Source organism: Homo sapiens, chromosome 5 (assembly GCF_000001405.40).
Source record: "Homo sapiens chromosome 5, GRCh38.p14 Primary Assembly".
Taxonomy (NCBI): Eukaryota; Metazoa; Chordata; class Mammalia; order Primates; family Hominidae; genus Homo; species Homo sapiens.
In genome coordinates this window covers 126,480,128-126,496,347 of record NC_000005.10, presented here as the reverse complement: position 1 = coordinate 126,496,347, position 16,220 = coordinate 126,480,128, and the positions used below count along the sequence as shown (strand labels likewise).

The following is a 16,220-nucleotide window of genomic DNA, read 5'->3' as shown; positions in this document are numbered from 1 at the left end:
GGTTGGGAGGTAGAGGTTCCAGTGAGCCGAGATTGCGCCACTGTACTCCAGCCTGGGCGATGATAGAGTGAGACCCTATCTGAAAAAAAAAAAAAAGTATCTTGGTTGGTTTCAAGGAATTGCATAAATGAATACCTGGGAAATGCTTTGGAGTATTGTGGAGTATATATAGGAAGGTATCTTAAATGTTTACAAAGTTTGAGAGGGCAACAATAATAATAATAGCATTTCCAGCTTATGGAAGATTGGTAATTTCTATTCACCAAAATAGTATGTATTTAATTATATTATAAAATATTAGAGTGCATAGAAATAGTATTACAACTGATAATCTTTTTAAGATTACACGTTTTGAAGGGCCAAATATATTGTGGACATTTGCTATTACTTTGGCCATTCAGCATCTGAAACCCCATGTTAGAATTCCCATTTATAACCTAGTTGGTAGAGGCGTAAAAATCCCAGATGCTTGCTTTCCCTCGCTTTGTAGTTAGTATGCAGGCTTATAACCTGGATTTCACCATTCGGATCTAGCTGCACCAGATTTTCACTTGGAAGCTAGTAAAGGAAAACCAAACAAACAATAGTATCCGCAAAGAAACAATAACTAAACCTAGGAATGGTGGAGCTGTCTTTCGCTCTGGATGAGTCAACTGTAGTGGTTGATGGAAAATAAAGTTTCAGTTAAAGAACTAGCAGCCATGTTGTGGGGGGTGGGAGTTGTGAGTTCTGATTCCTTGCAGAGAGCCACCTAATCTTGTAAATTAACTTATCTGATTAAAAAAAGGTAACGACTTCATTATACAAAACCTGTAGGATACAGAAAAGGTGTGTGGGCTTCTGTGTGTATGTATGTATGCATATACATATAAATATATATATATATATATATACACACACACATTGAGGGTTTTCTTCTTAAAGTTGGGATCATACCCTATAGTTTTATGTCTTTTAATGCAATTTTCGATATTTTCTATGCCTTTCTTTGACAATGCAATTTTAAATAACTGCATCATTTAACTGTTCTTCTATTGAATATTTAGACTCTCTAATATTTTGCTGTCAGAGGTTTCAAAGAATATTCTTGTATATAAACTTTACTATACTTCTGATTGTTGCTTTAGGATAAATTCCTAGATGGCAGATTACTAAAACTGAGTGAAATCTGAGGCTTTTTAAAGCTCTTGATATGGTTATAAAGTTGTTCTCCAGAGGTGGCTGACCCACTCTTGAATCACTAATGGGTTTTGAATAGAAAGTGCTGACACTGAACTTTAATAAAACTGTAATGTCAGACATAAATTTTTTTTTTTTTTGAGACAGAGTCTCGCTCTGTCGCCCAGGCTGGAGCGGCAGTGGCATGATCTGGGCTCACTGCAACCTCCACCTCCTGGGTTCAAGTGATTCTCCTGCCTCGGCCTCCCAAGTAGCTGGTACTACAGGTGTGCAAAAATATTTTTTAAAATAATGACTATTGTAGCTGTTATGAAAGCATACTACTTGCCTGACATGGCTATGTGCTTTAGAGACATCATCACATTGACTGATTGATTGACTGAGACAAGGTCTTGCTTTGTCACTCAGGCTAGGGTGCAATGGTGTGATCGTGGCTCACTGCAGCCTCAGTCTCCCAGACTTCAGCAATTCTCCTGAGTAGCTGGGACTATAGGCATGCATCACCACACCTGGCTAATTTATTTTTATTTTTAGTAGAAATGGGATCTTGCTGCGTTGTCCAGGCTGATCACAACCTCCTGAGCTCAAGCAGTCCTCCTGCCTTGGCCTCCGAGAATGCTGGGATTATAGGCATGAGCCACTGCACCTGGCTGACATTATCACATTTAATCCTCACACTGATACTTTTTACTGGTACTTTCAACCTCATCAATAAAATGGGGGGATATGGCCAAATATTTTGCTAAAGGTCACATAACTCATAAATGTGGACTGAGGAATGAAGCATTGTCTTTTTTTTTTTTCTTTTTTTTTTGACTTCAAAGTTCATTTTCTTTCCTTTAAACCGTTGTAACCCAAGAACTTAAATCCTTTTTTAGTTTTGAAATGATTACTTGGGAGGAAGGAAGTATAAGTGAGTTGGTAGTAGTAGATGGCAGGTGGAAAAAGAGTTAAAAAGCATAGTTAAGTCTTGGTTAAAGGAATTTACGAACTGACAAAACACAGTGTTAGCAGGGTGTTTCAACCAATGAGTATTTATTAAAAGCCAGAGGTGCACCAGGCACAGCTGTCCACTAGGCCAACAGATACAAACGATGTAACCAATTCGCTTATTAGCTTATCTGATTAAATAAAATACATTTCATAGAAATGATTATCAAATGCATTGCAGATAGAAACAGAATATCCTTTGTACTTACAGATCTTATGATACCCTAAACAATTATTAATAAAAACCAGCCAACCCATATGGTAAATAGTTAGCAAACCACCAGTTATTTTATTTTAGTCAGCAAAGGATAAAAACATACAAATTTCATGCTGAAAGGGATTTTAGCATTATTGAATGCTGAATACAGACATCCTGCTTGAAAACTACTAACATAGTCCACCTACAGTCTTAAAAATTCAGTGTTTTTCATCCTGTATTAAATCACTATTACACCTTTTGGCTTAAAAATTAGGTTTGGTTTCAAAATAAGTTTAATTTAGTACTTCAGTCACATGCCTCACAGATTCTTGACCAGGGCTGGGTAAGAATCAGTCCAATTAACTATTAGTTACAGCAACAAAACAAAACATAAACATAATGTTAAATTCACCTTGCTTGATATTCTTGCCAAAAAGGAATTGAGAAATTAAGACACACAGGTGATTTCAACCAGAACATAACAGGAGAACTGAAAAAAAAAAGACAAAATGTAGATGTTACTTGTTTGAAGCAAACCTGTCCACTTAGAGCCATTTATTGCCTTTTTGAGACTCATGGCTAATTCTTGAAAGGACCACATTGAGTTTGTCAGTATATGATGTATCCTTTAGTTTGAAAGTCGTTAAGAGGGGTGTAAGGGAGAGGCAGGAGGGCGGGAAGGACTAAAAAGGCACAGGGTGGAGTGTTTGCTGACGCCATCGTGGTAATTATCCAAGAGAGTGTGTTCGCTGGGCCCTTCCTGAGACCTCCAGAGATGGGTCTGTTTTCTTCAGGCAAAAGCAGCAAAATCTTCCTCAGAGAGTCAAGGTCAACTTTTATTGCACAAGAACCAAAATTATTTCCCTCCTCACTTTCCTGAGCTGGAGACCTCCACATGCAATGTCTGGATTCTCATCTGCTTGCACCTCTGACCAGCAGGGTGCACTCAAACAAAACGCCTCAGGAAGCACCTTCTTCAAAGGGAAACATGAGGTATTCCGATGGCCCAAGCAATCTGGTCGATCAGTCACCATTCTCAAGCAACTTCTGTAAGTTATTTTGTATCTTGAAATAAAAGAAAAGAAGTTCCTATTATTAAATAGAATGGAGTATATTAAGGGCATATTTGTTATAGTCTATATAGCATTCTATATTATTCCACTTTGAATAAAAAGCTACAAAAGGGTTAAATTTAGGTGAGGCAAATAGATGCTTTTTCATAGACTAGAACTCTGACAATCCACTTTTTCTTTGGGAAAAAGAAAGGGTCTCGCTCTGTCACCCAGGCTGGAATGCAGTGACGTGATCATGGTTCACTGCAGCCCTGACTTCCTGGGCTCAAGTGATCCTCCCACCTCAGCCTCCCAAGTAGCTGGGACTTCAGGCGTGCACCATCATGCCTGGCTAATTTTTGCACTTTTTGTATACATGGAGTTTCATCATGTTTCTCAGGCTGATCTAGAACTCCTGGGCTCAAGTGATCCTCCTGTCTCAGCCTCCCAAAGTGTTGAGATTACAGGTGTGAGCCACCATGTCCAGCTGACAATCCACTTTAAAATGAGGAAATACAGGGCTTAAAAAAAAAAAAAGAGAGAATGGCAGAAAGATGAAAATGTCAGTAGAGACTGAGATAAATGAGATGGAAGAAAAAGAACAAGGAACTGGCAACACCAGTGTGACCCAAATGCATTAGAAGACAATGGGAAATTGGTCTTTACACAACCCATTTGATGGTTTTAATCAGAAAAATCCCACATAATAATGTTTAACACTCCTGTTACTCCAATTAGATATTATTATTTAACATTTCCAAGAAGGTTGTGGATTTCACAGGGACAGAGACCAACCACGTCAGATGTTTGGATCTTAAGACGGGTCCGATGTTGGACATCAAAAATGTTCTCAGTAAATGACCGTTGAATAAAGGAACTTGTAAGAATTCATAGAAGCCGGGTGCTGTGGCTTGTGCCTGTAATCCCAGCACTTTGGGAGGATGAAGTGGGCAGATCACGAGGTCAGGAGTTCCAGACCAGCCTGGCCAACATGGTGAAACTCTGTCTCTACTAAAAAATATACAAATTAGCTGGGTGTGGTGGCAGATGCCTGTAATCCCAGCTACTTGGGAGGCTGAGGCAGGAGAATTGCTTGAACCTGGAAGGTGGGGGTTGCAGTGAGCCAAGATTGCGGCACTGCACTCCAGCCTGGGTGACAGAGCAAGACTCTGTCTTGGGAAAAAAAACAAAGAAGGAAAAAAAAAAGAATTCAGAGCAAGGAATTCTCAACAACCAGCCCTGTGATGGGAGTAGAAACCTTGCAGACGAAAAGAAAGAACATATTGTTTTTTAGAGGAACAGTCTGTGATGTCCTATGGGTGTTCTCAGGTGAGTGAGGAGGAAGGGGATCTGATATGTAAGTGCCAGCAAAGGCATGCCTGCTCCTGAGCCATACAACACCACACAAAGACAGGCTTTACACATGAAACCAAGGGCCAGGGAGCTGAAGTAGCAGGATGAGTTATGTGGGTAGTAAGCAGTGGAGCAGGGATAAGAACAAAGGCCTGACTCCAACATTTATGCTCTTTCTACTATACTGTTCCACCATTAATTCCACTTCCAGAACTAAGAAAATAAGTGTTTACTTCAGTTCCCGTAAGAGACATTGCTTTCTTCCCCAACTTTCTTGCTTTGTTTCTTCCTCATGTATCCCTCAGGACCAAAGATAAATGGAAAAACAGGAGTGGGAGGTAGAAAAAGGAATAAAACAAAGAACTGACATCCCAAATCCACAAAACACACCTACGATGACACACACACAAAACCCAAAATTAAAACAAAGGAGAGAATTAAGCAATTTACAGAGGAAAACCCAAATGGCCAGTAAATATATGAGATGTTCAGCCTCAGTAATAATTAGGAAAATACAAGCAAAAACCACAATGAGATCCAGCTTCACACTATCTGACTGGTAGTGGGAAGGCTGAATGGACTAGGATGGTACCTGTGGGAAGAAACTTTGAGGAGACATTTGAAGACAGACTTCACTGGATTTGCCAACTAGTCAACCAGTGGCAGGTGGAAAGAGGGAGTTAAAAATTATTCTTAGATTTCCAATGAGGATGACTGAAAGAGCAGTGATGCCATGAACAGAAATAGGGAAGTTATAAGCAGAGAAAGATCATGAGGCTTAGACATCACCGGCCCCCGAAGGTGAGAAGAAGGAATTGCTGGTATGGAGTATAAGACCTTCAACAGCATGGAGCTGCTATTTCACCGGCAGGCTGTGCTGCGCTAGTGCCCAGCTGCCTCTGAGGAAAGGTGCAGATGAATCAAAAAGAGCACGGGTGTGGCCTGGTACCTCTTTTTTAATACTTAGATTCTTTTGAGCAATGTGTGCAACTTCTAACTTTTTAGAACATCAACACGCGCATTTTGACCCCAAATCCACTTTTTACTGAATCAGTTTCTGCTTTGAGACAAAGGTAGTCTCCACTGGTGCTCCTGTAAACCTCCCCGGCCTCCCTGCTAAGCTGTCTGAACCCTGCACAAGACCTGAGGCTGTTTGCCTGCTGTGAACAAGCTCTTCTGTTTTCAGTTCCCTGGTTACAGAATGTGGTGTCCCGGCCAGGCCCAGCGGGAGAGTGGGAAGAAACACAAAAGAAGGCGGCAGGATCCCATGTGTTTCTAATCCAAAGAATATCACTGGTATGTAAGAGTGAACAAAATTGAAAATTAATACCACTTCATTCTCTGGGTTGCATGAAAGCCAAACATTTGTAAGCATTTCATTAAAAAAAATCGTTTATCTTCAATTCTCAGAAACTAATGTTTTAGAAAGGAAGAAAGCTAACTCATACCTTCTCTAGGTTGATTCTCGATGTAAAGAACTTTCTACATTTGCCCATAAATAGAATGATTTAATATGAATTCTCTGACCTGACTTGGTTTAGAACATAAGTTTGGAAACTCCTTTGCTCTTAATACTTTAGCTGTTAAATACTAACTAACACTGAGTGTAGGAAAACAAAGATAATTTTATTCATTTGTATTTAATATGAAATTTTACTAATTTGTATTTAATATGAAGAAATATGTCTTCCCAAGTAAGCATAACTGTACTATGATGTAAAGCTACCAGATACTGGGCGTTTGTGACAGCAGTTGTAATTGAACACTGAATTCTCTCTAAGCCTTTCCTGAAGGATTAGGGTAAAAACAAAGTAGTTATCAGATAAAGGAGAAGAAAATAAGACATGTAAATCAGGTTTATTTCTGGGATATTTCTGGCATGCCTATCTTCTTCTCCAGCTCACCCTCCTGCTGCCTTCTAAGAATGCCACAGGCTAAGGACAGTTTTGCCCTAGCGTTGTTTGGACTGTAGATACTTTGAGGTAAAGGTACATCTGTGGCCTTATCAACAAAGCCTAAAGCTGAATTCTGAGGAACAGTAAAGCAGAGAGCTTCTAAGCACAACTTTGCAGTCAGACAGGCCTGGTTCAGGTTCCAGATCTGCTGACTTTATTTATGTATTTTTCTTCTAATGCTCTCTCAGCAGACTCACGTCTGCTGCCTTTCTAGGTGTGTCACCTTCAGCAAGCTAATTTGAAACTCTTGATTCTTCCCCTATCAGATAGGGAACAATGACGTCTATCTTCCATGGTTCTAATAGGACTTACATGCAATATTTTACCTATGGGAACAGTCAGCCTTGGTGGAGTTGGGGCTGTACTTTCTGGCCAAGCCAGTGGTTGGTCTCCAGTTCACTCCCTACTATGTCCCTACATTAAGCTCCGATGTCAGTAGTCACTTACCACTGGGCCCTGTGCTATTAAGTAATATGTCTAATCAAGGAGGAAGAACAAAAGACCTACAAGACTATGTATTTCAAGGAAAATGAGATTAAGACCTATTTCTTTGTGGAAATAAAAAATATTCTTCCACATTTACTATAAAAAGCCCCTAGCCAGGGTTGATCATGTAGGTTTATTGCGGCACACTAACGGCGTCTGAGTGTGTAATCCCTGACCTGACCTAGGGCAACCAACAGGCACTACTGTGACTGCCCCCATACACAGGAAAGAAATAGGTCACCTTTTCTAATTTCACTATGTTAGCTGTAAGCTCTTGACAGAGAACCTCCACATTGAATTGTACTTGTGACCTCAGGCCAGATGGTGCTGCCTGTCTGTAAGAAAAAAGAGAAAAATTATTATGGGCAGGGATGACAAGGAAAGAAGTGGAATGAACACATTTAAAATTTATTTGAACAGAAAATTGGTTTATAATAGAAGAGAATGAACATTTCATTTGTTAATATTAGACAAAGCCCTGCAGTAATCCGCAACTCCAGGCTAGATGTTTAGGGAACTAATTCTTAAAAGCTCAGCGGGAAATCTCTTAAGCTATTTTTGTTTAAGTGGATATGGTGTGTTTCGGCTTCTAAACAAAAATCAGGCAATTATTTTCAAGCACGTGGTTTCTTAGAACCCTTTTATTAACCCCTAATATCCTTTCTGTCTCCACCAGAGCATAAACTTACAAGAATTATTGTACTTTTGAGCTATTTATACTAGAACTTTACAAGTTTAGGAATGTCCTTATCTAGTTAATCAAATGTCCCTTGAAACACGAGACTTTTGTAGTTTCTTCTTTGAGATTTATCATACAACTATAATTGCCCTTGTCTCATAATCAGGCGTGAGCCACTGTGCCTGGCCTGGAGTCACTTCTTATCTCTATGCCAATATTAACTTTTTGAACAAGATGGGAGAAACTAAGGGCAGAGTATGAATCCATACCAAACTGTTTATTAGGCTTTTGTATTTTATTAGTTCAAGTGTATATTTATGGGTCAAAAATAACCTGTATGCCTGCATACATGTAAGCCACCTAAAGGTAATTCCTATGGAGTAAAGAAAGGTCCTAGAATGGTATAACACAGTATTTCTCAAAGTATAGAGCTCAGACCATTGCCATCAGCACCACCTGGGAACTTGCTGGAAATGCAAATTCTCAGGCCTCATCCCAGACCTACTATATCAGGCACTCTGGAGATGAGCCCTGAAATCTGTTTAAACAATTCTAGATAATTCTGATGCAAATTAAAATTTGAGAGCCACTGGTAGACTGAGGAGCCCATGGTCTTTGTAGTTATATAGACCTGCAGCTGAATCTGCAAACTGTAAGACATTAAACTAATTATTACTCTGAGTCTCAGTTTCTTCATCTGTAAAATGGGAACAGTTCTATTCTAAGGTTATGGTGAAAATATAATGAGGAAAAATCATCTGTATTTGTATGTGTATGTATCCATTCTAATAGAGCCTTCAGCATGTGGTGAATACTCTGTCAGGAAATATCTCTACTTCAAAAACTTGGGCTAAATGTACACTTTCTAACATGGCATAAATTATTTCACTTTTTAGGCAATGTGTCAAAAGCTTCTTGTAAATAGGTTTAAAGAAAAGAGCTCTATGTCTGAAAAGGTTTAATTAGGCCAGGCATGTTAAAAAAAAGACTGATGGAAAATCTTCACAGACACATTCAATTAATTACTAGTCACATTGATCTTGACAGTGGTCAAGAGTTTTGCAAATAAGTGAGTTAATATAAAAAGTTATACATGATAAAATGTGCTGAGTTTCTTGAATTGCTTCTTTCTCTGAGTGTCTTGATTTATTGCCATTTTACTAAGGTAAACTTGTGTAGTTTAATAAATGGGGCAAGGTCACAACTGCATCTTAGCATATTCGAGCAAGATAATGTAAAATTAGGCTTGTTTCTTGCCTTATTACTAGCAACATTACCACAACTCCAAAATAGTACAGGGTTAGGTCATTCATTTCTAGACCCTCCTACCTTTTTACTTTCCACATATACACTTAACAAAATGTCACATACAGAATGTATCTCCAATTAATGTTTACTAAGAAGGATGCTAAGTTCAGGTCAATTATTATATTAAGCAGAATGGCAAGCAGATGACAGCTAGAGGCAATCGTCTTACTCAGTATTATGGGTGTCCACAATGGAGGTTAGTAACCCCAGCTGCTCCTCCAGAGTATTAATTCTGTATCTCATGTAGAAGGTCGAGATGATTAGTGCACAGACACTGGAAACGGATGAAAGAGAAACTTTCGTTAGGTTAACGGCCAGGATCTGATGTTCATAAAACAACTCAGTGCCAATGTGGTACACCCGAGGCAAGGTATTTTCCAAAATAACTTGGTAAAAAGATTTTAAAAACATCCTTTTTAAACAGGCTGATGCTTGTTATAAAACTTACAGCTAGAAGAGACTTAAAATCCTCTAGCCCAAGTCCCTTAATTTGCAAATAATGGCCCTTCTAATAGCACTGGTCAGAGCCAGACCCAAGTTGGAGTACCAAGCCAGTGTTCCTCCTCCCTGCGGTACTACCGTCCTCTGCCAGAAGAGCCTGGGCAGATCTTAGCCATGTTCTCTGGTGACTCCCTCCTTTATCTGGAAACCAGACTGGGCATATTTTCCTTGGTTGGGAGGAACAGCCTAGAACTGGGTCAGGCTATTTTCAGAAGAACAATTGGTTACACGCTAGAAGTTAAAAAAGTCTATGCCTACATTTTTGGTAAAGGGGATGAGGACAACATTTTCAAGTTGTGTTGGCCCCTGTTCAGGGGACATGGGACAGATGGCAAAACAAAATTATAGCTAGATAGAAGGAATAGGTTCTGGTGTTGAATATCACTGTAGAATGACTAAAGTTAACAATGATAGAGTTTCAAATAGCTAAAAGAAGGATATTGAATGTTCTCAACACAAAGAGATGATAAGGGTGATGGATATGCTAATTACCCGGATCTGATCAGTATACATTATATGTATCAAAACATCACTATGTAGTCCATAAATACCTACAATGATTATATGTCAATTAAAAAAATAAGGTAAAAAAAATAACAAGGGTAAAGATGCTTCATAATTCACAGAGCAATTTCCCAACTAATGGTACCCACTCAGAACTTAGTCCTCTGCAGGGTTTGGCACAACCATGAAAATGTGACCTAAGCCTAAGGAAAAAAACCTGAAGTAGGAGACAGAAATTGTCAAAGTAAAGATGTAGGTCACATTTCAGACAATTGAGATTTACAGTAGGTCTTGGCAGTGTGAAGAGATTATTCCTTTAGCGAATGGAATCATTTTCTTAGTCACTCACAGTAAATTCATGTACTTACACAATTGCATAGAATATAAGAATATGGTGAAGCATCGGACATTTCTGAGACTTGACTTTATGTAAGATTCCAACAGTTTCTGACAGACCTGTTGGGAGGAAAACAAAAAACAACTGTTTAAAACCATAACACACTTCTTTTATCCAGCAATATCCCTATGGGGTACTTGAGAGAGGTAATTGTTCCCAGGTAAAAGAAATCAGAGAAAATATCAAGTCTCCCAGTTGTCATTTTAACCAGTGGTTACAATTCCTTCCAACACATTCCATTGATTACATACCTATCCACAGCCTTCTTTGTGTCAAGCATTGTACTGGAATCAATGATGGACAATATAACAATATCCTTGCTCCCTTACCAGTATAGCTAGTTATTAGAATAATTAGTAAATAAGAAATTTGAGTTTTACTGGAAAATTTTTTATTTTTTTGAGATAGTCTCACTCTGTTGCCCAGGTGACAGTGGCGTGATCACAGCTCATTGCAGCCTTGACCTCCTGGGCTCAAGCAATCCTCCTGCCTCAGCCTCCCAAGTAGCTGGAACTACAAACATGTACCACACCCAGCTGATTTTTAACTTTTTTGTAGAGATAGGGTCTCACTATGTTGCCCAGGCTGGTCTTGAACTCCTTGGACTCAAGCAATCCTCCCACCGCAGACTCCCAAAGTGCTGGGGTTACAGTAACAGAAATTTTTGAAAGATAATCTCATGTATTCAGAATCATGAAGTGACCTCCATGAAGGCTATTCACTTTTGTATCCCCCACTGTAAGCACGGAACTGGGTACTGTTTGCTAAAAGAATAAGTGAATTAATATGCAAAGACCTATAATACAAAGGGAGGAAAGGGAATATGAAAAGCAGTCATAAGGTGAAACCCAGTTACAAATAGGCCGGGCATGGTGGCTCAAGCCTATAATCTCAGCATTTTGGGAGGCTGAGGCGGGTGGATCACTAGAGGTCAGGAGTTCGAGACTAGCCTGACCAAAATGGTGAAACCCTGTCTCTACTAAAAATACAAAAATTAGCTAGGCATTGTGGCATGCGTCTGTAATCCCAGCTACTCAGGAGGCTGAGGTACGAGAATCGCTTGAATCCAAGAGGCAGAGGTTGCAGTGAGCCAAGATCATGTTATTGCACTACAGCAGCCTGGGTGATAGAGCAAGATGCTGTCTAAAAAAAAAAAAAAAGTTACAAACAGACATCTCCAATCCTTCTAAACCCACCCCCCTGAGACATCCATTCCTTACCCTGTACAGGGAGACTCTTGGCTTTTCCTTCAGGTACTCTGTTCACATGGGCATCTGCCCGAGTTGGCTTTGCTTCTCCCTTGGAGACATTCAGAACTGTTTGGGATTCTGTCGCATGGAAATCTACTAAGCCAAAACAGAGCTGGGTAAGTGTTCTCTCCAATGTATTTAAAAACAGGATTAATCTCCAAGTAAATCAATCCCTTAACATGCATAATGGTCAAGAATGTGAATGGATGGTCTCACAAGTTAGTTGTGGTGGCTGGGGCTGAAATTGAATGCTTAAGCAAATAAGTAATAAAGTGATATAAGGATAGTCTTTCATTTTCCAACCAACTCACATGGATAATTCAGCTGTAACAATTAAAAATATTATTGAAATAAGAGGGAAGAAAATAGGCCGGTGCGGTGGCTCACGCCTGTAATCCCAGCACTTTGGGAGGCCAAAGTGGGTGGATCACGAGGTCAGGAGTTTGAGACCAGCCTGACCAACATGGTGAAACCCCGTCTCTACTAAAAATAACAAAAATTAGCCGGGCTTGATGGCGCATGCCTGTAATCCCAGCTACTCAGGAGGCTGAGACAGGAGAATTGCTTGAACCCGGGGGGTGGAGGTTGCAGGAGCCGAGATTGTGCCATTGCACTCCAGCCTCAAAAACAAAAACAAAAACAAAATTGTATGTTTTTTTCTCTCAACCACCCCAACGTTAGGTCTATTTAAAAGACCTCTGTTAAATGTGCATAAAAGCAAATGAATTTTTACCACATAGGCAATTCTTTTCCCTCCAACTCTCAAGGCATCCTTTCTCCAGATTCCATTCCTGATTTTTAACTAGGAAGACAATGTGGGTTTTTTTCTTTCTTTTCTTTTCTTTTTTTTTTTAAGGGGGTGGGGTGAGGATGTTTTGAGGGGAATTAAATTTTAGTCAAAATACAACAATTTCCCAAACCTCGAGAGTTCTCAGATTCAGGAGTTTGAGAACCAGAACTGCTATATCCTTCCATGTCTTGCCTTCTTTGTTGAACCACTCCATCCAGATCTGAGAATTCATCATTGAAATCCTGAAAGGAAACAGTGAAATGAAGACAGGCTGATATTCCCTTAGTAAACAGGCAGGCCTTTGTAACTCCCAGCCCTTTCACCTAGGCCTGACCTATAAAACATAGAATAGAAGGAAGGATTACTCCATACGACTGGGATTTTCCCAACAGATGACTGAGTATCTGGTTACTGAAACAGATTTTTCAGGCAGTTAAAATTCTGTCAACAAACACTGGCCAACTCGTTCGAAACAACAAATGTCTAGGAAAACACCCAGAATGCCAATAATTGAGAAGCTTCCAGTGTGAAGCTGAAGGTTTCATTAGCACTTCGTAATGAGAAAACCTGATTACTACAGACATATATAAGAGAAAAAAATAGAAAGCTTTAAATCCAAGTTCAAATATGTAGACAGAGAGAAAGATATTACTAACTTATAATTTTTTTAAAAAAGTATTGGAAACAGAAAAGGAAAAGTGGCTTTAGCCAATTAGACCCTGAAAGTAAAGTTTAAGCTTTTTTTCTCCCCTCAACTAAATCAAAACAGGGTTAGTGATAGTACATTTAAATTTTAGAAAGATGATGTAGGAGTAAGGTAAAAAGCACAGACATTCTACTTTGTATTCTACTGGTTCCCCAAAGTGCTTAAGAACTGAAGAGACAAATGGTGTCATTAAAATGTCCTGGCAAAGGTACAATTAGGCTGAGCTTTTAACAATTTAGTCAGCTGCCAAATGAAGAAGAGACTCATCTTGTAAGCAAATTACCAACCTTTCACCTTGAACTAGCTGTCTTTTGTTCATCTCAACACTCATTTCGATTTCATACAAGGATTTATAGGAGAAGGAAAATTGAAAATTTCTTCAATGTAATGATTTCTTGAATGCCTATCTCATATCAGGCAGTATGCAAAGCTCCTTACATACATGATTGCATTTAATCTTCACAGCCACATCATGAAGCTGGCATTTTAATGGATGAAGAAACTGAGTCAAAGCAGTTAAAGCTTGCCTGATGCTATAACATAGCTGGGTGGAGCCCAGATTTAAAACCAGGTTTCTTGGATTCCAAATCAAGTGTGTTACATTATATTCTGTACTGCTTCCCACCACTGTTTTTCAAGGTAGATTTTTAAGAAATTGAGATAAAATTCAGGTAACATAAAATCCACCATTTAAAAGTATACAATTCAGTGGTGTTTAGAATATTCACAATGTTGTACAGCCATGGCTACAATCTTGTTCTGGAATATTTCCATCAACCCCCAAAGAAAGCCCATACCCATTAGCAGTCACTCTCAATTTCTCCCTCACCCCATTCTCTGGCAACCACTAGTTGACTTTCTGTGCCTATGGATTTTCCTGTTCAAGATATTTCATATAAAGGGAATCATACAGTATGTAGCCTTTTGAGTCTGGGTTCTTTCACTTAGCATACTGCTTTCAAGGTCCATCTATATTGCTATATTGTAGCAGGTATCAGTACTTCATCTCCCCTTTTTTTTTTTTTTTTGAGATGGAGTCTCATTGCACTGTCTCCCAGGCTGGAGTACAGCGGCGTGATCTCGGCTCACTGCAACCTCCACCTCCCAGGTTCAAGCAATTCTCCTGCCTCGGCCTCCTGAGTAGCTGGGATTACAGGCATGCGTCACCAGGCCTGGCTAATTTTTTGTATTTTTTAGCAGAGACAGGGTTTCAATATGTTGGCCAGGCTGGTCTCGAACTCCTGACCTTGTGATCCACCCGCCTCGGCCTCCCAAAGTGCTGGGATTACAGGCGTGAGCCACTGCGCCTGGCCCTTAATTTCCTTTTTATGGTTGAATAATATCCCATTGTATAGGTATACCACATTTAAAAAATCCATTAATCAGTTGATGGACATTAGGGTTTTCCCCACCTTTTGGCTATGATGAATAATGCTATTAACATTCTTGTACAAGTGTTTGTGTGAAAACGCTTTCAATCCCATTACTTTTAAACTGTTCTCAAAAAAAAGATTTGTGGGAGTTGTTGAAACCATGGGCTCATATTGCTTCACTAATGTAGAATATTTATAATCATTTGAATGGTATGGTTGGAACTCTCTTGGGAAAACATTATAACCATTATGGGTACAAATCTTACACAGAGGGAGCTACTTCCCACTGGAGATTTACTCTACGGTTTACAAAGTCTAAGGGAATGAATCAATCTTTACCTGTCACTTGGGCATTATAGCTTTCTTTTTTTTTCTTTTCTTTCTTTCTTTCTTTCTTTCTTTCTTTCTTTCTTTCTTTCTTTTTTTTTTTTTTTACAGTTAATTCTGAGCATATTCATTTCTCTTCTAAGTTGTGAAGTCTCTGAAGGCATAAATTAGTTTTAATTTTTCCTGGTATCCTACAGTGTGCACTAGCATGGTGCCTTGAACACAGAAGACATTTAAGGATTTGTGGGATGATTCAGTCCTACCTCAAATAGATTTGTGAATCCCTCTAAGCCAATATTGACAAGCAAACAGAGCAAGATTTTATGAATGCATTCACTGACCAGTAACTCACCAAGATAGTCTACTAGGTGTTTCTTTCTTTTTGCAGGACAACTCTTCAATTACTTGGAAAAAGTTTATGGCTACTATGGTTTCCTCTTCTTCAAGGAAGATATGCCCTGTTTCTTCAACTGTACCTCAAATATTTTGGTCCTAAGCTCTTCCCACACCCTGGTCATGGTGTAAGCACAAGTGTAATTGTGGGACATATTCCCTTTCTTTTGCATTTAGATAGTTATGTGGGCAACTTACCAGAGGCAGAGATGAAGGGCGGTCTGCTCGGAAACTGTTTTCAGCAGAAGATGGATTGGGACTGTTACCAACACTTGTATTCTGAAATTATTGGAACAAAACGAAAAGCCAGATTAACTATGAAACCATAAGAAATACAGAAGAGAGACAGTAATTGAGGCTCAGGGACATCATACTCACTTCTAAGTGTCCACACACAGATTTTAGTAGTTTGTAAGTTGAATCTCTGGAGAGTAAGGAGACAAATATGTACTGAAAAACAAAACAGGATAATTATGAATAGATATTGCCGGATGAGAAGTGAGAGTTGAGAGTTCAGAAAAGTATCTGTATACAGCTTTTGCATTTTCAAACAACATGGACCTCTCTTTGATCTATATTCTCATTCCTCTCACTCAAACATTCCATTTTTATTCCATTCCTGTAATAAAGCAAACATTCTCCCATAAAAGCAACAAAATCTTCAAACCCAATTTAAGAGTAATAAATACATGTAGGGCAAAATGAAGGCTCCAAAAGCCTGTCACTGGTGCCTCAAACAAGCCCAGAGAAGAAAAGGCCTGGACATTAAGAAAAGGCT

The 16,220-nt window shown here is 39.2% G+C and overlaps 1 protein-coding gene across 26 annotated transcripts in view, besides 1 other annotated feature; it reads right to left on the bottom strand.

Annotated features, from left to right (window-relative positions):
- Nucleotides 1–1,983: 1,983 nt before the first annotated feature.
- GRAMD2B (GRAM domain containing 2B) overlaps nt 1,984–16,220 on the bottom strand; it is a 134,245-nt gene continuing 120,008 nt past the window's right edge. For 12 of the 26 annotated variants that reach the window (XM_017009781.2, XM_011543593.3, XM_005272057.5 and 9 more), the window contains 8 exons: nt 15,821–15,892; nt 15,641–15,721; nt 12,774–12,885; nt 11,824–11,949; nt 10,575–10,662; nt 9,371–9,475; nt 7,456–7,549; nt 1,984–3,433 (listed from right to left, as the gene is read on the bottom strand). In XM_017009781.2, coding sequence (XP_016865270.1) covers nt 3,392–3,433; nt 7,456–7,549; nt 9,371–9,475; nt 10,575–10,662; nt 11,824–11,949; nt 12,774–12,885; nt 15,641–15,721; nt 15,821–15,892 — 720 coding nt within the window. In that variant the 3' untranslated portion in view covers nt 1,984–3,391. Of the gene's footprint in view, nt 6,067–7,455; nt 7,550–9,370; nt 9,476–10,574; nt 10,663–11,823; nt 11,950–12,773; nt 12,886–15,640; nt 15,722–15,820; nt 15,893–16,220 lie in introns of all 26 variants that reach the window. The other 14 variants (NM_001146319.3, XM_005272058.5, NM_001146321.3 and 11 more) reach the window with 5 other exon arrangements.
- Nucleotides 3,051–3,606: an enhancer, noted in NCBI's record as "NANOG hESC enhancer chr5:125828434-125828989 (GRCh37/hg19 assembly coordinates)". NCBI's record gives its function as "activates a minimal SCP1, AML or CMV promoter by ChIP-STARR-seq in naive H9 embryonic stem cells {active_cell/tissue: H9 hESC(naive)}" and the evidence as "EXISTENCE:reporter gene assay evidence [ECO:0000049][PMID:30033119]".